The following is a 25,701-nucleotide window of genomic DNA, read 5'->3' as shown; positions in this document are numbered from 1 at the left end:
TTTACACCATAACACACAAATTACAATGTCTTCAATGTGTATACTGCCTCACAGGTTGCATACACATTGTAGTTTACAACCTGTACCTTTCCTCAAATTTCATATATGGGAATGAGGAGAGGGAAACTCATTCTCCTTGAATGTCAAGCAGTAAGGGTGTTCTCCAGAAATGCTGGAAGTCATATCCCCATCACTGAGTGAAGCCAGAGAGAGTGACGACACAGAAGCTTCTGGAAGCCAGAGCCCTACCAGCAAGGGAACCTAAGAGGCTGAGAACAGAAGCTGAAAGAAGAGATGGAGAGGTGGTGTCTGTAAGTTGGTCTCAAGGCTGATCTCTACCCCTTTCATGTTGTTTGCATAGGTGAGCCATTACATTTTCCCTTCTAATAAAAACTAGAACAGATTTGCCTTGATGTATGCCACTTCCGGGCATCTATCCTCTCACTGCCTTGGCTCTACTGCCCTTTTCTGTTTCTGCTGACTAGTTCCCAGATCCTTCTAAGAATTCCTCAGACTTCAGAACATTCTAGCCACTGCTTTGGCCCCCTGACGTCTGAGCCTTTGGTCCCCTTTAAACCTGAAGCCGTGAGAACACAGCTTATTATTCTCAAATGCTAATCTCTACCTGGCTGCAGGTTTAACTCCAATCTAATTTGCTATCTCCCTATATCATAGATTGACAGTGGATATCATTAATATGGATTGAGAGAATTGGCTTAGCAAAATATAAAAATACTATAACATTGCAGAACACGTGGTTAACAAACTTAGAAGAAATTATTTTTAAAGAATGTTCAAAACTATTGAAAGATTAGTTTTCAAATGATTTGTTCTTTTTAAGTTTGTTGAATTGATCTAGGTGAGAGTTTTCCTTGGAAACGTCTTATTAACAACTAACTTGAATTATTGCAATATATATATATTTTTTTAAAAATTATTTCTTTTGAAGTGGTCATATCTTTGCATACTTTGTAAAAAATTATGGAATTTTATTGTGAAAAATACATCATTTTAAAATACGGTTATTGTTTTTTGTCCCAAAAGAAATAAGAACATTGGCATAAACAAAATGCTCACCTTGGAACAATGGGGAAAAAAGATATTGCCAAAATGTGTAGCCAACAACGATGTGCCAGTTATTAAACCACTGCCCCTCAGCTCCAAGCCCACCCTTCCTTACTCAGGTTTATGATAACAGAGCTGGGACTCAACTCACTTATTTCTCCTTTGCCCGCTGGATCTGCTAAAAGTTCTGCCAAGAGGGGGAGGCAGAGAGAAACTGGACAGCTGCGCAAAGGGAACAGGATCTTGCCCTTTGCTATTTGTTCATTACTCTCATCAGTGTTGCCCCAACAACTGGTTCCAATAGCAGATGGCTCTAGTTTTCATCTTTTCCCTCCTGGTATCAGCCTCACTGCATTCCCTTAGAGACAATAGCAAAGTTGGCCAATGTCCCCTCCTCAAAAGCCAGAAGCCCAGCTTTGACGGTCCCTATTCTGTGTTACTGGGACACCTCCTTGGAGACAGTAACCTCTCCTCAAAGGTCTGAGTCTCGGCTATGTGGGGGTCCTTCCCACAAGTAACCCAGCCTAAAAGTTACTATCTTTTCCCTCAGTATTGCCTTTCCACCCTTTATTCCTCCAAAACTTACTTAACTAATTCCCTACGTTAAATTCTCTCTGTTAAAGCAACTGGTGTAGTTTCTATTTTCTTGGTTAGATTCTAAATGATACAAACTACTTCTTCATTTCCCCCCCACAATGTTTTATTTACAGCGGACTAAGACATGAACGACAGAGGCAAAGGGTACAAAGGAACAGCTATGAGCTTGAAGTTTTTTAGAAAAAAATGCGTATTTCATGAACTTGATTCTCCATAAAACAATTTATGTCTTTCAATATTCAAATTTAACAGTTTTACTACATATTTTTAGGCTCTGTAAAATCTGTAAATCTGATTTTACATTGGAGGTTCAGTAGGTTAAGTACAGTACTGGGTATATAATAGCATCTCAATGAATTTTTATGTTAAATTTACCAAACTAATTTTAGAGAAAATTAATTTAAACCTAAATGTGGACAAAATAGTTTCATAAAAATTTTATTTATAAAGACAATAATACAATAGACATTACACCTTAGTTTATTATCTCTAGGATTCATTGGTACCAACTGCCAGCTGTTACCATTAGTTCAATAATTGGTATTTTATGTGGTATGTAAGTGTTACAACAATGTATTTGAGCCCAAACTTGTATGTTATACTTCTATCTTAAAGCATATTTGTTGGTCTTAAAGCCATTAATTTAAAATATTCTTTTTTTTTTTTTTTTGGAGACAGAGTTTTGCTCTTGTTGCCCAGGCTGCATTCGCTCTTGTTGCGCAATGGTGCAATCTCAGCTCACTGCAACCTCCACCTCCTGGGTTCAAGCGATTCTCCTGCCTCAGCCTGCTGAGTAGCTGCGATTACAGGCATGTGCCACTACGCCCAGCTAACTTTGTATTTTTAGTAGAGAAGGGGTTTCTCCATGTTGGTCAGGCTGGTCTCAAACTCCCAACCTCAGGTGATCCACCCACCTCGGCCTCCCAAAGTGCTGGGATTACAGTCATGAGCCACTGTGCCGGGCCATTAAAATATTCATTTAATAGTGACTATAAATTAAGGAAAATAAAAAGGTAGACATTTTTTCATGAAAATTTTGGTGTTCTAAGCAAAAATTAACAAGTGGAATCTAATTAAACTAAAAAGCTTCTGCACAGCAAAAGAAACTATTATCATAGTGAACAGACAACCTAAAGAATGGGAGGAAATTTTGCAATCTATCCATCTGACCAAGGGCTAATATCCAGAATCTACAAAGAACTTAAACAAATTTACAAGAAAAAAACAAACCACCCCATTAAAAAGTGGGCAAAAGACATGAACAGACACTTCTCAAAAGAAGACATCTGTGCAGCCAACAAATATATGAAAAACAGCTCAGCATCACTGATCATTAGAGAAACGCAAATCAAAACCACAATAAGATACCATCTAATACCAGTTAGAATGGCGATTATTAAAATGTCAAGAAATAACAGATGCTGGCGAGGCTGGAGAAACAGGAACACTTTTACACTGTTGGTGGGAATGTAAATTAGTTCAACCACTGTGGAAGACAGTGTGGAGATTCCTCAAAGACCCAGAACCAGAAATACCATTTGACCCAGCAATCCCATTACTGGGTATATGCCCAAAAAAATATAAATCATTCTATTATAAAGATACACGCACACGTATGTTTATTGCAGCACTATTCACAATAGCAAAGACATGGAATCAACCCAAATGCCCATCAATGATAGACTAGATAAAGAAAATGTGGTACATATACACCATGGAATACTATGCAGCCTTAAAAAGGAACAAGATCATGTCCTTTGCAGGGACATGGATGGATATGGAAGCCACTATCCTCAGCAAACTAACACAGGAACAGAAAAAAAAAACAAACACCACATGTTCTCACTTACAAGTAGGGGCTGAACAATGAGAGCACATGTACACAGGGAGGGGAACAGCACACACTGGGGCCTGTTGGGTGGATGAGGGGCAAGAGAGTATCCGGATAAATAGCTAATGCATGCAAGGCTTAATACCTGGGTGATGGGTTGATGGGTGGAGCAAACCACCATGGCACACATTTACCTAACAAACCTGCACACTCTGCACAGGTATCCCAGAACTTAAAATAAAATTTAAAAAAATTTTGCTCTTCCATTTAAATTGTTCGGTGACTTAAAATAGTTTGAAAATTCTGCCTTAAAAAATCTTCTCTCAGGCAATTTATTATGAATTACTAATACAAAATTTGACTATGAGAACTTCTCTATTTTATGATCCCATTTCAGTATTTTCATTGTTTAAAACAAGATTTACTGCAAACATAATTAGAATACTACTGGGTTTAATGTATCTTTACCACTGGCTTCTAAGACCACCAAAAGAAAATGTGTTAAACTAACACTCACTGTCCTAATTCTGTTCCCCTAGAGCCATACAAAACAACTCTTCTTTTGCTTCCACATTAAAGAGCCCTCTAAATGTTCTAAGACCACTAATTCTTCTACCTTCTCTCCTCCCAGCTAAGCTGCCTGAGTCCTTCAGCTTTCCTCTTGTGATGTGGTTTCCAGGCTCGTCACCATCCTGGCCTCCCTCAGGTCACACTCCAGCTGGCCAGTACTCTAAACAAAGTCTGACTACAATAGCCCTAGATAGAAAGTCTGAGATTAACAAGTCATCTGCTTGCCAGTTTATCAGCTATCAATCAAATCCTGAAAAGGCTGCATTTCACAGCTAACTTTAGCTGAACATTTAAAATGCTTAGAAAGTGTGAATTATATTTTTGCTTAAACAGTCAGATATGAGACATCAAACTGAAGCCTGATGTAATTCACATGGCAAATGCCAACAACTACTATCTGACCTCGAAGTCAGGAGAGAAGCCGGGGAGGGGCTCTGAGCCAGGTCGTTTAGAGTGAATCACCCTTTCCACCTGATTCCTTCTTCCCTCTCCCATCAGCACTACAAACTAGGTAACTAGGTGAGCTCTGACTCCCTTGGGAATATGAGATCCTCTGTCAATCCACACCAAGCATCTTGTTTGTATATCACTTTCTCCCTGGCACTACATAGATACATAATAGGTTTATTAATGTTCTTGACTAAATTCATAAGTTTTGGGGGAAAGTATATAAATAAGTGCAGAAAATTATAAGCCTCAAATATCTCTGATTTAACCTTTAATAAAATTAACAACATTTATGTTCTAGTTACCATATAATTTAAGTTAAAGCTATACTTATTCTTTATATTTTCATCATACAGTTCCGCTTTTGTCTATGACTATTTGCTAAGGGCAAAGAACTTTACCATGCAACTGAAAGATTTATTTTAATAGTTTCAAGGTCTGTTAACTTGTAACTCACATTATGAATGTTAGTCACAGAAGATTTTATTTGCTAAGATGTTTGCTGTAGGAACTGTTTGTTCATGTCAAGTTGTAAATCCTGCCTGGGATAGAAGCTTAAGGTAATTTCCAATTTGGGTAGTAATTAACTCACTCTCAGTGACTTAGCTATGGAACTCCCTGGGCATGTAAGAGGCATGGCTTTGCTTGTTAGACTGAAAGCATCAATCAATATCCTTTATCTTGGCTTTTTACGTTCAAGGCATAATAAACTTTGAGGTCTCACAGATTTCTTTTTACAAGGCCATGTAACTTTTTAAAGAAAGAATCCATTAGTAGGAAGCATGTGTTACTCATCATCATACCTTTCAGAACACCTGGCTCAGAGTTTTCTGAATCATGGGCTCAACAACATTAATTGAAGTGAACCTGCTATTCCTTAACAGCAGCTCTGACTTAAGGCTACATTTCATTGCAACTAAAATGGAACATGAATAGTAAGTCAGAGAACTCTCACTTCTTCACTAGGTTTGGTAATATTTGTTTCGGAATACACACTGGGACATGGCATCTAATAAACTCAGAAAATATAATTTCCCTGCAACAAAAAAAGTGTATTAATTGTGTAACCACAGTCACCTTAGAAGTCAGCTTGGCATAACTATGGTTTTATTTCTACTTATATACACACTGAGTGTCCCCTAAATCAAGCAAGTGTAAACAAAGAAAAAAGGGAGGATTTACTGCTTCATGTAGTGCAGAAGGTCTTGGGCATGGCTGAACTCAGAGGCTCAGACACTCATCAGGACTCTCTCCTTCCCTAGGCTTACTTTCCTCTGTGCTGGCTCCATTCTCAGAACGACTCTTCCTGATGGTACTTGCTCTACAGTACCAAGTACTGTGATCTTAGGATGACAGCCTTTCTGCTCACAACCCAAAAGGAAGACAGGCTCTCTATCAAATCTCAAGGAAGATCATGGTTGACTTTGCTAGGACCACATGTCTCTCCTGGGGCAGGAAGTAAGGCCTCATGATGGACAAGACCCCAAGAAGTGGGGGAAAGAGTTCCCCATTCCCCATAGGAAATTAGGCTGTGCAGATCAATGCTGCAAGTCTACTCAAAAATTCAAGGTCTGACATTCCAAGTGCCTTTTTATCTCTACTGCATAAGGTAGAAATAAAAGCATAGTTCTGCCAAGCTGACTTTTTTTTTTTTTTTTTTTTTTGAGACAAGGCCTCACTTTGTCACCCAGGCTGGAGTACAGTGGTGCAATCATGGCACTTCAGCCTCCCGAGTAGTTGGGACTACAGGTACACATTATCACACCCAGTTAATTTTTGCCATGTTGCCCAAGCTCAAGCTGACTTCTTACTGCGGCTATGCAATTAACACACTATTTGCTGCAAAGAAATTTATATTTACTGAGTCTATTATATGCCAAGCACAGTGTCAGGAATTTTATAGGCATTAGCTTATTTAATTTTCTCAATAGGTAGATACTGTTTAAGACAAATGCACAGAAAAAAATCTTAGAGAAGTTAAACGGTAAATGTCAGAACCAAAAGTGCAAACTGAGCCATTTTGTCTCTAGAGCCTCCATTTTTCTACCATATAGACATTGAGAATTTTGAAACTCTTTTGAGTTGGGCTGTCATCATCACTGCTTATCTTTTATTTTTTATTTCATTATTTTACTATAAATATTTCCCAAGAGCACTTGGGATAATTTGGTCTTATTAAAATGCAAATCCATGGCTGGGTGCAGTGGCTCACATCTATAATCCCAATACTCTGGGAGGCCGAGGTGGGAGGATCACTTGAGGCCAGGAGTTTGAGACCTGCTTGGGCCATCTCTTTAATAATAATAATAATAATAATAATAATGTCCCAGGAAGGAGTAATTCAGATATGAAACTTTCTTTTATTAGCCAAAAGCTTTCGGTATATCAGAGTCCTGCTGCTTCTTTCATGGCCCCCCAGGAAGATGACACAGGACAGACCACATCACACTGCTGAAGGACAGGGCTTTTGGATACAGCTCATGGCAGTCAATGGCTCTACTGGGGGCTGGGAATAATTCTACAACCTTGCTATTCCTCATGGAAATTATTCAACATTTGATGGTAGAATCCTGCAAACTCTAAAAATGTCAGAATAACAAGAAGGAATCCAGTTACCACATAGCCTATGAATTAATAGATGGAATCAGGAAGGTAAGATAAGAATAGTAAGTACTAGCATTTGCTCTAATGTTCCTTTACTTGATTTTAGAAACATAAGCCTCCTAATTACAAATTATTTAATAAAGGGAAAATCTAACCTTTAGTGACTATGGTTAAATGTTTGTTTTACCTTGCACACCATTCCTGCTGCTACCACAATATTACCCACAGAAATCTTACGCAAAATGTAGTCTCAGGTTACACACAATACCTCTGGCTTCACTGCTTCAGAAAGAGGGCAGCAGATGCTGAGCTGCCTAGGATCCCAGCCTTCTACCAGCTCTCAGCCCCATGGCACCCCGGGAGACTGTAACTGAGAAATCCCCCACACTTCTGGCTTTCAGCAACTTGCACTCTTAAATGAGACAGGGAGCATCTATTTTCTAACAGTTGCATTTAATAAGCAGTCTTGAACATAATCCTAGCATAGTACTTGGCACACAGTAAACATTAAATAAATTAAGAGGAGGAGAAAAAGAGGGGAAGTCAAAGAGGAAGATTTGGAGGAGGAGGAAGAGAAAGAATTGCATCACATCTATATCACTCATTCTTTTATTCCCTAGACTCTTAGCTCTAAGGGGCAAATGAGAAAATATGAATTAAACAAGAGTAGTTCAACCCCCACTTCTTAAATCTGAGGAACTGAAGCCCTGAGATGTTAGCAGCTTGCTCAGACAGACAGGATGTAATAGCAGAGCTGGGTTTCCCATCCAGCTCTCTGTCCTCCCAGGCCTGTGCTCTGTCTACAGTAAGAACTGCATGCCAAGCAATGGGCCATATGTTTTTAACAGGCAGTGGCAGAACTGGAGTTATGCTGTGTCCCCTGTGGGCAAACACATTTTTACTGGCAAGGAAGAAAAATAAAGTGTCACTGTCCTTTGATGGGAGGTTCCCTATCCTCATTCCCTGGGGCCCAGAATGTAAAGTCTAAGTGTGAGCCTGTTAAAATGTTTCTCTGGTACGTTCAGTAACCAAAGCTCTTCATGGGTTCCAACATTAACCAGTTATTCCATATTCTATCATCTGATAGGCTGATTGACACTGAAGCTCTCTCACACTCACAAGAAATGTGTATCATTCCCTTCATCGACAAACATTTAGAACATGCCTCCTCTGGGTAACACGCTATGTTAGGGTCTGGTGCCACTAAGAGAGATGTACGACACCTACCCTGAATACGAGGTGTTTGAAATCCATGTGATAAGATAGAGCAGACATGTGAAAGGTAACCATGAAGTCAGCATATCTTAGGTGCAAATGAGAAGAGCAAAGTATAAGGCTATAGGATTTCTAGGATGACTTCTAGGTAATTGGAAAATCTAAATATAGATGTCCTTGTGTAAAATTTGATCACCTTTATGGTAATTACGGTTATATATATGTATTCACCAGACATTAAATCCACACTGCATACCTCAATTTATGGATTAATGTAATATCAGAAATTATCTCAACATTTGACTCATATTTATAAAATGAGTACTATAAATGGTCCCAGTAATTCATCCCACACAAAAAGACTATACTAACACATATTTCATGTATAAAATTAAAATGTGTCTTGTTAAAACACATACTTATTCTAATATTTTATTTTCAGCCATCACAGAATATCAGGACTAGAAAGAAACTGAGTTGTCAGTGCATTCATTCATTAGCAAGTCCATTCTCCCCTTACAACATCCCTAGAAGGTGATGTCCTTATGATGTCCCCATCCTGTCCTTGAATACTTTCAGTGACAAGAGACTAACTCATGAGGTAGGTCAGTTCATCTTTACCATTCATCCATTTAATTCTACATAAAAGCAGTGTACTTCAAAATGGGAAAATCAGCAACAGCAAAAGAGAAAATAAAATGTTTTCTAATTAGTTACAGAGGTATCTACATAGTTATTAAGTTTTCTTGTGAGGTTTGCTTAATAAGATAGATAACCCAGAGTGGTCCATATGCCTCTGCAATATTGACCACTGTGGGTTATCTGCAATGACATTTCTGTTCATGATAGACATTCCTTTCAGGCAGCTCAATATGAGAAATTAGGTAATTCAAATAAATCAAGTTCTATATAAGTAGTCAGCAAAAACTACATTGGAAAATACCTATAGTATTTGTTAAACCTATAATATTTCCAGTAATTTTTAATGTTAACAATGTTCCCGTAGAGCAAGAGAAAGAGCCTAATCTTCCAAGAAACATGAATTTATTGGCAGTGTATTCTACTTACTGTGGTGAAAAATACAGTTTGGAAAAATGTTTAATTTCCAAGATTTAAACAAAAAAGTGTTTTGTGCTGCACTAATTAATAAATAAACCATGACAAGCTCTGCTGTATTTGACTATTCAGCCCACTGGCAAAATTTCTAGCAATCCCACTACTGGGTATCTATCCACAGAAAAGGAGATCAGTGTATCAAAGGAATACCTGCACCCCGATGTTTACTGCAGCATTATTCACAAGAGCCAAATACGGAATCAACCTAACTTTCCATCAATAGATGAATGGATAATGAAAATGTGGTATATATATACTATGGAATACGATTCAGCCATAAAAAAGAATAAAATCCTGTCATTTTCAGCAACATGGATGGAAATGTAGGTCATTACAGGAAGTGAAATAAGCCAGGCACATAAAGACAAATATTGTATGTTCTCATTCCTATGTTGGAGCTTATAAATAAATAAATAAATAAATAAATAAATAAATAAGTAGATCTCATGGAGATAGAGTGGAATGATGGTTACCAGAGGCTGGGAAGTTGTAGGGGAGAAAGATGATGAGAGGTTAATAGGTACAAACACAGTTAGATAGAAGGAATTGGTTCTAATGTTTGACAGCACAGTAAGGTGACTATAGTTAAAAACATTTATTGTACATTCCAAAATAGCTGGAAGTTGAAATATTCCCGCCACAAGGAAATGATAAATGTTTGAGGTGATGGATATCCTAATTGCCCTGATTTGATCCTTACACATTGCATGCATGTACCAAAATATCACATGCCCCATAAATATGTACAACGATTATGTATCAATTCAAATTGCATAAGAATATTTCTGGGTATGCATATAGTTAACTTTCTACAGCTTAGGCTCCCACACAACTAGTTGATTTAAAAAAATCATCATTTGCTATCAATAGACTAAAACAGTAGCACTAATAAATCAATTAAATTAGAATTATTTCTATCTACCACCACCACCAAACGGCAAAAGCAGGATAAAATAGCAGCAGGAGAGGGGAGGGGTCACTTGACTCTTACCACTTGACCAACTGGGTATATCCTTGCTGTATCTCTGTAGGACTGCAGAGGACGAGCTTTCCAACTCACCTGTGTTTTGAGAATAACACCCACAAATTTAAACTTTCACCAAAAACTCATCAAATTCTCCATAATTTGGGCTACCTTCAAGGAGGAACATTCTAGGGCCACCGCCTGTTACAGAATTAGAAGAAGTGAGTATTCACATTTTTGTGCTCTGCTTTTAGTAGATGCTCAAGGAGTACATTGCTCAGAGTAGGCTAACAAGGCTATTAGGAGATGACACAAAGATAAATAAGACCCAGGAGGTTACGGTACAATCGAGCAGCAAGATCAGAAAAAAGCTGGACCCTCCCAAATGTCTATTATGGATTCTTTCACATTATCAGCACAACTTACAGACTAGATACCCACAGTTTGTGCTAATTTATATGTTCCTTGAGGCACGCTGAGCAATAAATTCTCTGCCACTTTTTAAATGTCCCCTTTATAAGTACTGTTAGGCACTTATTACCAGAAGGACAGTGATGCCTGGCACAGAAGCCTATCTTTAGACCATCCTGTACCAGAGAAATTAAACACTGCATCAGGAAACAGCTCTACAATGTGCATATGTGTTTCCATGGGGAGTGTGAACGGAGTATGAAGCAGATTAGGAAGAGAAAACCAGTGAAGTAACCACAAAATCAGACAGATGAAAGAATGATGGGCAGAAAATGGAGAGGACCCAGGGGGCCATCAGGAGTGAATGGGGGCAGGGGTGCAAATGCATTTCTTCTAACCATAATTTGCACCTCCAGACTCGGGCTTCATTTCAGATATAGAGTTCTATCTTCATTTTTTTCTTAAAGTTTGGAATTTGAAACAGTAAGCCCCAAAAGCAGTACATATTACTTCCTGTCCATCAATATTAGGAAGCACTGTATGTAAAACAGAAGACTGTTCTTCAACAGTCCCTGATAAGGAAGACAGAAAAGAACAAATTCCTTCTGGAGTTGAAACTTGACGTCTTCAGATGGAGCCAAAAGATGCTTACAGACAGGGGAAGAAGAGAAACAGAGCAGGAGAGCAGGCACTCCAGGGGAAAACCCTGAGCAGTGGAACAGAAAGTGAAGAGGGTGGGGAAAGAATTCACTATCCCTGCATCGGCCCATGCCAAGGTTTTTCAGAGAGGAGCATTCCCCAAGAAAAAGATCAACCAACCCAAATCTTCAGGAACTACAAATAAATCATTCTGACAAATAATCTGAAGAGTCTTGGGCTGCCAAATGAATGCCAATGGTCTTTGTTAGAAAGTGAATGACTTTGTTGTAAGGTCATCTCAAGTTGTAAGAGCAGGACTGTCACACACTTTACAGTATCCTTTCACAAGTAAAATTTAGAGCGCAGCTTATTGGCTCCTTGTTAACAATCAAATGCTCCACAGTTTCCAATGTTTGGAGACTTCAGCATTTATTCCAAAGCATTCCCCAAAGAGTTACTGTAAAAACTGTCTTATTTCCCAAGTGAACAGGTATAGCATATGTATTTTTTTTTTAACAGTCCCTGGCTAGTTTCCTGAAGAACAAGCAGCAGGAAATATAAACCAGACGTATATCTTTCAGTATCTGAACCAGATATGAAATTCCATGGACCTATTTAAATTAGAATCAAGCACTGATATGACACAAATGTGGTTGCAAATTTAGCAAGTATGACTGGAAACATTATATTGAAAAGGAAGTAAAAATTCCCTATTTCGGGGCAACTAGGGTAAGGCAAACTCTATTCAGCATACTAATTAAAATGCCAGTATTCCATTTAACAAAGCTAAAATGTAAGTGAATATACATAAGCCAGTGAAGAACAAAATTCAGTGCAAATGTCACCACTTTAAGTTGTCTTTTCTAGGCACAAGCCGCTGTGGAATTCAACATTCATTTAGGCAGGTTCAATGGGGCTTCTGCTAGAAGCAAAGCGGCATCACTTGTTTAGAGTGGTCTCACAGGCACACTTGAATCCAGGAAGAACAAAGCAGGGGACACATGAAAATATCTGCAAGTGTCTAATATGTGTCATTTTAGAACCAGCTTTACCTATTTGTTACTGTTGAGCATTGCTCTGAAAATATGCCAGTTTCAGATAAGAAAAATAAAGTCTGGCTTGTACAGTATATCAAATCGAATGCAGTGATTTAAAGAAACTCAAAACTAAACTCTGACTCTAATGTAGTGGGATAAAAATGAGCTGGGAGAATACCAACAGAGGAGAATCAGAAATGAGTTTTCAGTATTTTGTATTTTTAACACAGCCCATCTACTGAGTTGCAGTACTTTTACAGTTAATTTGTAACTACACACCTACCAGTCCCTTTAAGAAACACACATTAAAAACCATAGCTGATTAGTCTGCTATCCTTCCCATTAAAAAAAGAGCAAAACTACCCCTAGAAGACAACCGCACAAAATAGTCAAGCACTTAGGATTCTGCACAGTACAAATCCCACTTACTGATTTTTCCTTCATCTCTTGAGAAAGGAAAGCAGCAAAGCTGGCCCATGGCACTGGTCCTGTCTGTCTTTCCTGGTGTTCTTCTCCGTGAGGACCCCAAATAGAAATTGCAGTTTATAGCACAGTCTGCGAGCACACCCTGCCTTTTTCACTCCACGGAGCAGCACAGGCAGCTTGAAGAGCCAATGCACACGCCGCCGGGGGAGAGAAAGGAGAAGGGAACTTGCTGCCGTGAGCAAAAAAGGCTCCACCTCCAGTCCTCCAGCCTAATGCAACTGCTCTGGGACTGGCATTCAGTGAAGGAAGTGGCTATACGCTCCCGTATTCTCACAAAACTGTGAGTCCCTGGCCATAGGTCAGTGCCATGTGTTCTGTCTGGCTATTTGCATATGTCTTTAAGAAAGGTAGTCGAGAAAAACCACAATGAGCCCTTTCTCCTACAGACAACTGCAGTAATTACACATGAAAATTCAAACCCCCAAAAAAACCATATTTTCTGTCTGCTACTTAAAGAGGAAGAGCCTTCTTTTATCCCTAGGAGATTGTGGTTTATGAATAGAAAACCCAACATAGCAGAACACTGGAATCACAACTTGTATGAAGTACCATTAACTACCTAGCAAACTGCATGAACAATAGAAATGATAGGCTAAGTGTGGGGAAAGAGGCTATCGACTGTTATCTGTACGGTACGGCATATCTTTTAAATTCCTGCTTTCTGATATATTGCCTTATTCCCCTAGTAAAGCAGTAATCAATAATATTAATTTTGAAATTATACCATCAAATATGTCAACAGCCTAGAAAATTACCCAAATATAGATGCATCACTGACAAAAAGACAAAAGATTAGGGCATCTTTCTGAATGAAGCCACAAGGTGATTGAGCAAATTCAGGGGCAGCAAAACAACTAATTTTAAGAAAGGCTATATTTTGAACTCTATTACATGAAATAACAGATTTCATGTAATTGTTCAAAATCTGTTATCTTATAGAGGGAATAGCCTTAGTTTATGACACTCTAGGAAAGAAAAATTGTTCATAGTGCCAGAAATTCCACCCTGATTCTTTCTTACTCCTCTATTTACTAGCTAGGCACACCTATTTCCCATGGATTAGAAGGAGAGGGAACAGGATGATGCTGAACACCTCAAGTGGTTCTGAACATAGTCCACCTACTTTCATGATCATCCAAACAAAAAGAGCCTGCAGCATGGAAAAATGAAAATTGTCAATTTTACAAATTATATTTGTCGCATTAAAAAAAACAGTGAAGATGCTGGCAAACACTAGTATCTGTTTTCAATGCTTTTTTTCTGAAAGATAGAATTTTGATAATTTTGATGCAAATATCAAAGAGTATTTGAGAGTGTTATCAAGGAACACAGTTGTTTTTATATGTCACAGGTACATTAATATGCACTTTGACTTCCACATTAGAAATATTGTGAAGATCTATGGAATAAAAAGCAAAGATCTGACTGATTAAACTGGCAGGTCTATCCACATAATTAAAATTAATGTTTAGAGAATTACATGTCTTTAAATTGCTTTCACTTTTTCAGACTATTTAAAATGTAAAGATGCTTATTTTACCTTGGTTTAAAGAGGACACTCCATTCTATCATACAATGAACATTATAATTTTAAGTAAAATTCCACTTTTATAACCAGTTGGGTTTCTTCACAGCTTAGTGACTTATAAATAAACAGCAACTTTAAACTCTTCCAGTATTCCCCCAAATTCACCAATACATGAGTGAATACAGGTGTATGTTTTAAAATATAAAATGATTTTGTATATAAATGTAAAATAGTCCTAAAAGCAATAATATAAACCTTATTAAGACCAGAAAGCAAATAAATGGCCTGTAACCCTAAAAATGGAAACATCAGAACCTACAGCAAATTTTGAACACTGGAGACGTGACACAGAATGTGGTTCTTCCCAGCCTTAACACTGCCACTACCCAGCTAGGAAACACCAGAGAAGCCCTTGGTCCTCTCTGGACCTCAGTTTCTTCACCCAAAAATAAGGCAGTAGGCATATTAGGATCCTCTACAGTACTAGCATTATATGATTTTGTGATCAAAATAACAAAGGAAATAGCCTAACAACCAGTGAACAATTATCCTAAACATTACTTTTTGTGTTCAGTGAAGATGTATTTGCAGGGAACGTTCTTCACTGAGGAAAATTAGTAACTCCTGGCATTTCCCAATCACCAGCATCAGTATAGTGATAAAACCTTTAGAGTCAGGAAACCATGGGTTTAAATCCCAGATGTCAGGTATTAACAGTTATGAAACTCATGCCTCCTGGTCAGAGTTTTGATATCTTTATCTGTAATTCAGGTAAGTTCATTATAAAGCTTTTAATTTGCATTGCAAAATAGTATTTGATGGGGAGGGGAAGAAGAGAACAGATTGTCTGATGGCTGTATTTATATGCACCTCAGTCTTTCTAGCACCAGGTAGTAATCTTGCCTCCTGCTCTTCCAATTTTGTGCCCTACTAGCTGCCATCTTGAGTTAATGCTTATATATCTGGCCTCCAAACAAAAAGGCCCTCTACTCAAACTCAGAGCCCAGGAGGATAATGTTCGTGCAATAAATCCTACCAACTTAACTTTATTATTAACCATTCCCTGTTGGCACTGCTTCTGAAAATGTGCAATTAAGAATAGGGACAGGCACCATGGCTCATGCCTATAATGCCAGCACTTTGGGGGGCCAAGGTGAGAGAATCACTTCAGGCCAAGACTGCGAGACCAGCCTGGGTAACACAGTGAGACCCCATCTCTACAAAAAAATTTTAAAAATTAGCTGGGCATAGTGGCACATGCCTTAGTCCTAGCTACTCAGGAGGCTGAAGCAGGAGGATTGCTTGAGCCCAGGAGTTCAAGGTTATAGTGAGCTATGATCATACCACTGTACTCCAGCCTGAGTGCAGGAGTGACCGAGTGAGACCCTGTCTCTATAAAAGAAATAAAATATGGCCAGGCGCGGTGGCTCATGCCTGTAATCCCAGCACTTCAGGAGGCCAAGGTGGGTGGATCACGAGATCAGGAGTTCAAGACCAGCCTAACATAGTGAAACCCCGCCTCTATTAAAAATACAAAAATTAACCAGGCATGGTGGTGCACGCCTGTAGTCCCAGCTACTCGGGAGGCTGAGGCAGAAGAATCACTTGAGCCTGGGAGGTGGAGGTTGCAGTGAGCTGAGATCATGCCACTGCACTCCAGCCTGGGTGACAGAGAGAGACTCCATCTCGGAAAAAAAAAAAAAAAGAAAAAAAAAACATATATATATATATATATATATATATATATATATATATATATATACATATGAAATGTGTCATTAACTATCAAGATATTCTGCATGAATGAAGGGGAGCTAGATAATGTTAGAGGCTTTTTCATAAGCATTAAGTGAATTAACCATAATGAAAGATAGAAAACAATGGAGAAATTCAAGATAAGAATTCTAAAACCTAACATTTACTGGACACATAACACCAGGCACTTGAGTTTACTCATTCATTTAATCTCTAAGACAGCTCTCTGAAGATGGTGGTATTACTATCCCCATTTTACAGGTGAAAAACGTAAGCTCAGCAAAGTAACTTGGGTGAAATCTTTTGGAGAGTATTGACAATAAGGGGATCTGAACTCAATCTGTCTGGCTCTACAAACCCTAAGCATTTGATCCAGAGTTCTGTATTATTAAACACAATTTGTGTGTAGACTCAGCTATATACAATATGAAACAGCATACCACAATTTCAAAATATTATGCAGAAAAATGTTATTTAACCAAGCTCTATCAAAATCTTGCCTTGGTTCCTCATGTTTTGCCATCAAATCCCTTTACTAATGCTGCTAGAGTAATATAATCCTATTTCAAAACAAAGGACCTAAAGATAGACCCTTTTTGGGGCTGGAGCCTAGCACTGTTGCCTGCCACATCTTGGAAAAACGACTCAATTAAGAGCACAGAAATAGCAGAATGGCCCCTGAACACATTCATCTTCCAGGAAAAATAGCAACTTGGACCATTCACAAACATAATCCCTGACAATATTCATGACCTTTTATTAGGGAATTAACACTCTTCTCAGTAGCATATGGAGGTCTACTGTAAGATTTAAAAAAGAAGGTTAACCTTGATGAGGAAAAATATCTGATATGATACTATGTTCATAAACTTAAAACCATAACCTTTCCATGCTTTCTTTTCTCCCAGGCCTGGCTACAGACCAATCACGGTTAGGACAGTTGCCTATATTTGCTATCATATTTTGGGCTTTTTATTACAATTGTTTAAAATGGCAGCAATAAAACTAAAAAGTATGAGGTGGGTGGCAGCTGCCTCTTGTCCATGTACTTTAACTGTCAGCTCTGATTATTGTCTCTAATGGAAAAAGATAATTCTTAACTATGACCAAAAGCTCTATTCTCTGTTGGTTAGCATCTTTTTCTACCTATAACTGAACATATATATATATATATATATATATTTGGACTTCTGAGAAACCTCATGGAAAAGTCTGAGTCATAATAAAAAGCAAACCTTGCTGTAAGATTCTGACTCTACAAAACTATGCAAATTATCAATTCTTACCAAAACTGTACAAATTCCCAATCTTCTGAGGCTTCCAACTCACTAATTAAAGGAAATTTGAGTCTGACAACTTGCAGAGACACATGAGAAGGAAAAACATGGTAAATATCTTGTATTCAAAAGAGAGGAGAGAAAAGAGGACATTAAATGATGAAGCATAAAGAAAGAGAAAAACCACTTTATCCTTCTAAATTTTGGAACCAAGCCTTAGGAGACGAGACATACCTTTAACTATAAAAGAGACAATTTAGAAAGATTTCATTACACAGCTGGTAGCCCACTCATGGAAACTGTTATGCCAAGAAATGTCACAATTTCAGTGAAAATGTATGTTAAGTTCAAGAAGTGCTTGACAATTCGTGGAAACATAACTTGTGGAAATTGGGATGTTTTGGAATACATTCCAATTTTTATGTTGCCACTGGGTACCAAAAAGACAAACAATTATTCTGGGCCTGAAGAAAATCGGATGGACATACCCAGTATTACATTTTGTTTCTCTGTGTTCTTGTAGTGAAACCGCGTCTCTACTAAAAATACAAAAAAAAAAACCAAAAACAAAAAAACAAAAAAAAAAACGTAGCTGGGCGTGGTGGTGGGTGCCTGTAATCCCAGCTACTCGGGATGCTGAGGCAGGAGAATTGCATGAACCTGGGAGGTGGCGGTTGCAGTGAGTCGAGTTGCACTACTGCACTCCAGCCCGGGCAACAGTGTGAGACTCCATCTCAAGAAAAAAAAAAAAAAAAAGAATTCAACTCTCAATAATCAATCCACAATAGGCCAGACCCAAAAGATGCTTCTTTATTGTTTAGCCACTGCTGCATCTTTGTAGTCATTTTGTAACCAAAGAGAAAGATTCTGAAACAACATCATTAAACCACAACCGAAAAAACTTTATCTATAAATCTCACTGGTTAAGTCCTGTTCTTAATTACCTGCAAAAAGAATCAGTCTTAACTGTGAAATTTGGAAGCCAAGAATCTTTTTTTTAAACCATTACTCCTACTTTAGTCATATTTTCAACAGACTTTTTACTTCTCTTTACAGTGCTTTTGTTTTTCTCTAAAACTAAAAGTTATAGGTATTTGTATTTGAAACTGCCATATGCTATACAATTTTAATATGTATAGCAAATGGAAAGAGAATTTTTTTTTCTATAAAACAGAAGCCATAAAAGCATAAGATGCCATATACAGCATATGTGCATTTAGGAAAGGGGAAGAAACAAGTAGATACCAAGAGCTACCAAAGAAGTCCTTATTCTTCACCAATCCACAAGAGTCATTCCGAAATCTCTGCTGATGCATTTCTGCTTAGTGCCAATTTTCAAATGCCTACTCCATGGTTACTATTCAGTCAGTTCTTTTCTATGTGTGTGGCCCAACATTTAACGGCATGGATAGTCAAAGCCTTCTCCTTAATTGAGAAATAAGTTAGGGAGGAAAATTTATCTCCCTGCTTAGAGGACACACAGCAGTAGAGCACTGAGAGCACTGGATGTAGGAGGCTGAAAGATGGGCTGACAAGTCCCAGCACATATCTGGACACCTCACATTTACAGCATACCCTGCTATCAGTTTAATTCCATCCACTGTTTATTGAACACATACTATGAGCTAATATGATCATCACATAAGCTCTTGCGGTAAAGTTAACTCTTGTGTCAACGGGTGCCACCAGAGTAGGTGAGAGAGCCAGGGCCCAAGGAGGGTACGAGCTCCCCATTTGAAGTCATGGCCTTAGGGGAGCTGGAAGGAGCCCAGCATTCCCATTGTGCCAAGTCATACTGGAGTTTTATTAACCCAAAACAGTAACAGGAGAACAAAGGCCAATAACAGTCACTTATTCTAGACAGATACTGTTCAGCCCTGCTTTTTACAGTCTGACCTTTTTTCAAGCATTACTGAAATCACAAAAACTGACATGAGTTACTTCCTCAAAAACAAGTTAAATATTTGGATGTTAAAACCTTATTTGGAAAAAAAAAAAAAGGAAAAGCAAAGAATATACTTAATCTACTGACCAGTATTTGTATTATCAGACATGGCTGCTTTCTTAGTCAAGTGCTTTTAATCTTTTAATGTCCTAGACCTTTCAGAGGAGAAACCAACATCCTTCACAAGAAGAAAAGAAACATATTTCAGAAACACCAACAGGGCCCAATGAGAAGATTTTACTTGTAGTTTAACAATGTAAACAACAGAAAATTTGGTTCTACAATTTCTAAATCATTGGAGGTTTTTCACAGGTCCTAATTATTCTTTATGTGGAATGCTCTCAATCTATATTTAGCTCTGAAAGTGGCCCAGTGTTTGACCTTGGGCAAGACAACAGTCAGTCACATTTCCTGGTATGTCAAGCTTCAAATAAAAGGTACTTTAATAACTCAATATATTATTATTAAAGCTTTTTTTCCTATAATAACACTTAAAGGGATAAGGAAGAATGAAAGTGAATCCTCAATTAAAAGAAAATTTATTTATACCAGATAAAATGCTGTTAAATCAAGGCTGCTCTTGGCAGGTCTCAAAATCTGTCATGGTCCACCACAGCCCCGGCTGACATGCCTCCGATACGCCATGTCAGTATTCATTCTGATTAGTCTGTTTATGGATGCTTCTAACAACATGTGGTAACTGTCAGAACTATCGTTTAAATATCCCACTGAATCTATTTTCTGTTCACACATTTCTTAATCCACAACTGAAATGTGTATCTGTTAGGATGCACTCAGCTGCAAATACCAAAAATTCTTGATTCATCTGGTTTAAAAATAAAGAAATGTCATTATCTCCTATAATCCTATAAGCTATGGTAGTGTCACTCAAGGGGTGGTTAATTCAGTGGCTTGACAAGATCATCACGGCTCATCCTCCTAGTGCCCCACGCTCAGCCTGCATACTTACAGTCACCCACTGTCCCCCATGGCCAAGATGGCAGCAAAGTCTAGGCTTCACATGTACACCCAACACTTGGCAGCTAAAAAATGGTAGTCTCTTCCCTCTAAATCTCTTTTTATCAACTCATTGGGCCCTACCAGCGTTTCTGAAATATGTCTCTTTCCTTCTTGTGAAGGATGTTGGTTTCTCCTTTGAAAGGTCTAGAGCATTAACAGATTAAAGGCACTTGACTTAGAAAGCAGCCATGTCCCATAATACAAATACTAGTCAGTAGATTAAGTATAAGAAACTGCTGAGGTCCCCAGCAGACTTCTCACATATATTGAAATTGGGTCACATGCCACTTCCTTCACTAATCACTAGGAAGAAGAATGGAGCTCATCACCTTCGGGGCAAAAGTCAGGCCCATGTGGCCTGAGGCCCACTTTATCACAGTGAAAACGAAGAAAATGGGCTCAGAATAGGCAAGCTACTAGTGTCTGCTAGTGTTCTGTGTTTACCTTTTAATAAAAATCTGTATCTGCTTTTTGGTCAATTAATATTAAGAAAGTGATTAAAAGGGTCTATAAGTAATTATATATATATATAATTATATATATAGCAAAAAAGGGGGGAAAAGCCTAAAAAGTAAATCACTGAAAAAGAGTGTCATGCTTCCACACTAATAAACAAAATTGTAATTGTAATACATGGCTGGAGAACAAGTAGCAAAACTGTGAACTGCCTTTCTCTAAACCTTATTATACTAAGACTGACTGCTTAAGTAAAAGCTTCCGCTTATTATGATCCAAGTTGTTAGCAATGAACACATATTTGGCAGCTATGGTTCTTTGGTACCAAATATAAAACTGTGATGGTCAATTGCGCTTCCTTTACTCATAGCCAGAATCAAGATAAAATACTCACCTGAATCATTACTCTAGTAATAGAAGATCAAATAGAACCACAATTCATGAATTGACAAACTGTTGTTTTCTCAGTTGCTCACACTCAGTCCCTTAGGCATTTTATATAAAACATATTACGGTCAGATACAATATCAAAGGATCCCTGTGGGTTAATTAAAAAAGACAGAATTTAAACTTCATAAAGGGAAATAAAATATACTCTGTGTTTCTTTAGCCCTCATTATCTTCATTTCTACCAGAGCAAGTTTCTCTGTAGAAGATGCAATCTTGAATCACACAGAGACATTTTTAGGCTACTGATGTTCCACAGACCAACAAGAAACAATTAACAAATCTGTCACACTTATGGAAATAATTTCCAAAACCTTTTATCTCTATCATAGCCTCTTGTTTAAGGTCTCCATCCTTTCTGTACAATACATATCTCAGGTAACTAGCTGCAAAGCAAATCTGAAGTTCTAGGTTTCCCAGGTAACCTTCAGCTATTTCATTCATACCCATAGCTTGAACTACTAACCTAATGCCACTGAATCCTATAACTGTCATATATATATACACACACACACACACACACACACACACACACACACACACACACACACACATATATATAATCTATGTCCTGGACCTCTCTCCTCAACAAGCCCCTTAATTGGGCCACAGCTGCTTTCATATGCCCAAAACTGAACTCATCATCTTCTTGTCACCAAAATCTGTTTTCTCTTTTATCCTGTACCACCAATTGGTGTAGGGCACCACTGTCTACCTAGTTGTCTAAACCCCAAATCTGGGAGCCAACCTAGGGTTCTCTTCTGTTTTGCAAAATCTATCCAAAATCTTAAAATATTGATTCTCCTGCCTACCAAGATCTGCAATGCACCCCTCCTCCTTCTCCTTCTCCATCCACTGCAAATGCCAAGTGCAGGCAATTATCATGACCTGCCTAGACTACCATTCCTGCCTACTTATTGGTCTTGCTGATCAGTTTCCTGCTCCCCCTCAACCATCGTGCTTATACTGTACCAGCAGAGTGTCTTTTCTTAAATACAAATCTAATAATGTCATTTCCAGCTCCAAAAATGTTGATGGCTCCCATTCCCTACAAAATAAGATCTGGGTGGAACCAAGATGGCCAAATAGGAACAGCTCCAGTCTACAGCTCCCAGCGTGAGCGACGCAGAAGACGGGTGATTTCTGCACTTCCAACTGAGGAACTGGGTTCATCTCACTGGGGAGCGTCGGACAGTGGGTGCAGGACAGTGGGTGCAGGACAGTGGGTGCAGGGCACTGAGCGTGAGCTGAAGCAGGGCAAGGCATCACCTCACCCGGGAAGTGCAAGGGGTCAGGGAATTCCCTTTCCCAGTCAAAGAAAGGGGTGACAGACGGCACCTGGAAAATTGGGTCACTCCCACCCTAATACTGCACTTTTCCAACAGTCTTAGCAAACAGCATACCAGGAGATTATATCCTGCGCCTGGCTCGGCGGGTCCTACACCCATGGAGCCTTGCTCATTGCTAGCACAGCAGTCTGAGATCAAACTGCAAGGTGGCAGCAAGGCTGGGGAAGGGGCACCCGCCATTGCCCCGGCTTGAGTAGGTAAACAAAGCGGCCAGGAAGCTCCAACTGGGTGGAGCCCACAGCAGCTCAAGGAGGCCTGCCTGCCTCTATAGACTTCACCTCTGGGGGCAGGGCATAGCCAAACAAAAGGCAGCAGAAACCTCTGCAGACTTAAATGTCCCTGTCTGACAGCTTTGAAGAGACTAGTGGTTCTCCCAGCACACAGCTGGAGATCTGAGAATGGACAGACTGTCTCCTCAAGTGGGTCCCTGACCCCCAAGCAGCCTAACTGGGAGACACCCCCCAGTAGGGGCAGACTGACACCTCACACGGCCGGGTACTCCTCTGAGACAAAACTTCCAGAGGAACGATCACACAGCAACATTTGCTGTTCACCAATATCCGCTGTTCTGCAGCCTCCGCTGCTGATACCCAGGCAAACAGGGTCTGGAGTGGACCTCCAGCAAACTCCAACAGACCTGCAGCTGAGGATCCTGACTGTTAGATGGAAAACTAACAAACAGAAAGGACATCCACACCAAAACCCCATCTGTACGTCACCATCATCAAAGACCAAAGGTAGATAAAACCACAAAGATGGGGAAAAAACAGAGCAGAAAAACTGGAAACTCTAAAAATCAGAGCGCCTCTCCTCCTCCAAAGGAACGCAGCTCCTCACCAGCAACGGAACAAAGCTGGACAGAGAATGACTTTGACAAGTTGAGAGAAGAAGGCTTCAGACGATCAAACTACTCCAAGCTAAAGGAGGAAGTTCAAACCCATGGCAAAGAAGTAAAAAACCTTGAAAAAAGATTAGACGAATGGCTAACTAGAATAACCAATGCAGAGAAGTCCTTAAAGGACCTGATGAAGCTGAAAACCAAGACACGAGAACTATGTGACGAATGCACAAGCCTCAGTAGCCGATTTGATCAACTGGAAGAAAGGGTATCAGTGATGGAAGATCAAATGAATGAAATGAAGCGAGAAGAGAAGTTTAGAGAAAAAAGAATAAAAAGAAACAAACAAAGCCTCCAAGAAATATGGCACTATGTGAAAAGACCAAATCTACGTCTGATTGGTGTACCTGAAAGTGACGGGGAGAATGGAACCAAGTTGGAAAACACTCTGCAGGATATTATCCAGGAGAACTTCCCCAATCTAGCAAGGCAAGCAAATATTCAAATTCAGGAAATACAGAGAACGCCAAAAAGATACTCCTCGAGAAGAGCACTCCAAGAAACATAATTATCAGATTCACCAAAGTTGAAATGAAGGAAAAAATGTTAAGGGCAGCCAGAGAGAAAGGTTGGGTTACCCACAAAGGGAAGCCCATCAGACTAACAGCTGACGTCTTGGCAGACACTCTACAAGCCAGAAGAGAGTGGGGGCCAATATTCAACATTCTTAAATGAAAGAATTTTCAACCCAGAATTTCATATCCAGCCAAACTAAGCTTCATAAGTGAAGGAAAAATAAAATCCTTTACAGACAAGCAAATGCTGAGAGATTTTGTCACCACCAGGCCTGCCCTAAAAGAGCTCCTGAAGGAAGCACTAAACATGGAAAGGAACAACCAGTACCAGCCACTGCAAAAACATGCCAAATTGTAAAGACCATCAAGGCTAAGAAAAAACTGCATCAACTAATGAGCAAAATAACCAGCTAGCATCATAATGACAGGATCAAATTCACACATAACAATATTAACCTTAAATGTAAATGGGCTAAATGCTCCAATTAAAAGACACGGACTGGCAAATTGGATAAAGAGTCAAGACCTATCAGTGTGCTGTATTCAGAAAACCCATCTCACATGCAGAGACACATATAGGTTCAAAATAAAGGGATGGTGGAAGATCCATCAAGCAAATGGAAAACAAAAAAAGGCAGGGGTTGCAATCCTAGTCTTTGATAAAAACAGACTTTAAACCAACAAAGATCAAAAGAGACAAAGAAGGTCATGACATAATGGTAAAGGGATCAATTCAACAAGAAGAGCTAACTATCCTAAATATATATGTACCCAATATGGGAGCACCCAGATTCATAAAGCAAGTCCTTAGAGACCTACAAAGAGACTTAGACTCCCACACAATAATAATGGGAGACTTTAACACCCCACTGTCAACATTAGACAGATCAATGAGACAGAAAGTTAACAAGGATATCCAGGAACTGAACTCAGCTCTGCACCAAGCAGACCTAATAGACATCTACAGAACTCTCTACCCCAAATCAACAGAATATACATTCTTTTCAGCACCACACCACACGTATTCCAAAATTGACCACTTAGTTGCAAGTAAAGCACTCCTCAGCAAATGTAAAAGAACAGAAATTATAACAAACTGTCTCTCAGACCACAGTGCAATCAAACTAGAACTCAGGATTAAGAAACTCACTCAAAACCGTTCAACCACATGGAAACTGAACAACCTGCTCCTGAATGACTACTGGGTACATAATGAAATGAAGGCAGAAATAAAGATGTTCTTTGAAACCAACGAGAACAAAGACACAACATACCAGAATCTCTGGGACACATTCAAAGCAGTGTGTAGAGGGAAATTTATAGCACTAAATGACCACAAGAGAAAGTAGGAAAGATCTAAAATTGACACCCTAACATCACAATTAAAAGAACTAGAGAATCGAGAGCAAACACATTCAAAAGCTAGCAGAAGGCAAGAAATAACTAAGATCAGAGCAGAACTGAAGGAAATAGAGACACAAAAACCCTTCAAAAAAATCAGTGAATCCAGGAGCTGGTTTTTGGAAAAG

General features: G+C 38.9%; 1 protein-coding gene across 19 annotated transcripts in view; it reads right to left on the bottom strand.

Moving 5' to 3' along the window:
* The window catches only part of AKAP7 (A-kinase anchoring protein 7), a 157,906-nt gene that overhangs the window by 19,991 nt on the left and 112,214 nt on the right, over positions 1-25,701 (bottom strand). For 2 of the 19 annotated variants that reach the window (NM_004842.4, NM_001387864.1), the window contains exon 1: positions 12,926-13,138. The exons of 15 other annotated variants lie outside the window; for them this stretch is intronic. In NM_004842.4, the coding sequence (NP_004833.1) occupies positions 12,926-12,974 (49 nt within the window). In that variant the 5' untranslated portion in view covers positions 12,975-13,138. Of the gene's footprint in view, positions 1-10,436; positions 10,506-12,925; positions 13,139-21,370; positions 21,502-25,701 lie in introns of those variants that run through there. 2 more of the 19 variants (NM_138633.3, XM_047419568.1) reach the window with 2 other exon arrangements.

The sequence above is a fragment of the Homo sapiens genome, chromosome 6 (genome assembly GCF_000001405.40).
Source record: "Homo sapiens chromosome 6, GRCh38.p14 Primary Assembly".
NCBI classification, from domain to species: domain Eukaryota; kingdom Metazoa; phylum Chordata; class Mammalia; order Primates; family Hominidae; genus Homo; species Homo sapiens.
The sequence above is the reverse complement of the archived record's forward strand: the minus strand, read 5'-3'. Positions and strand labels throughout refer to the sequence as shown.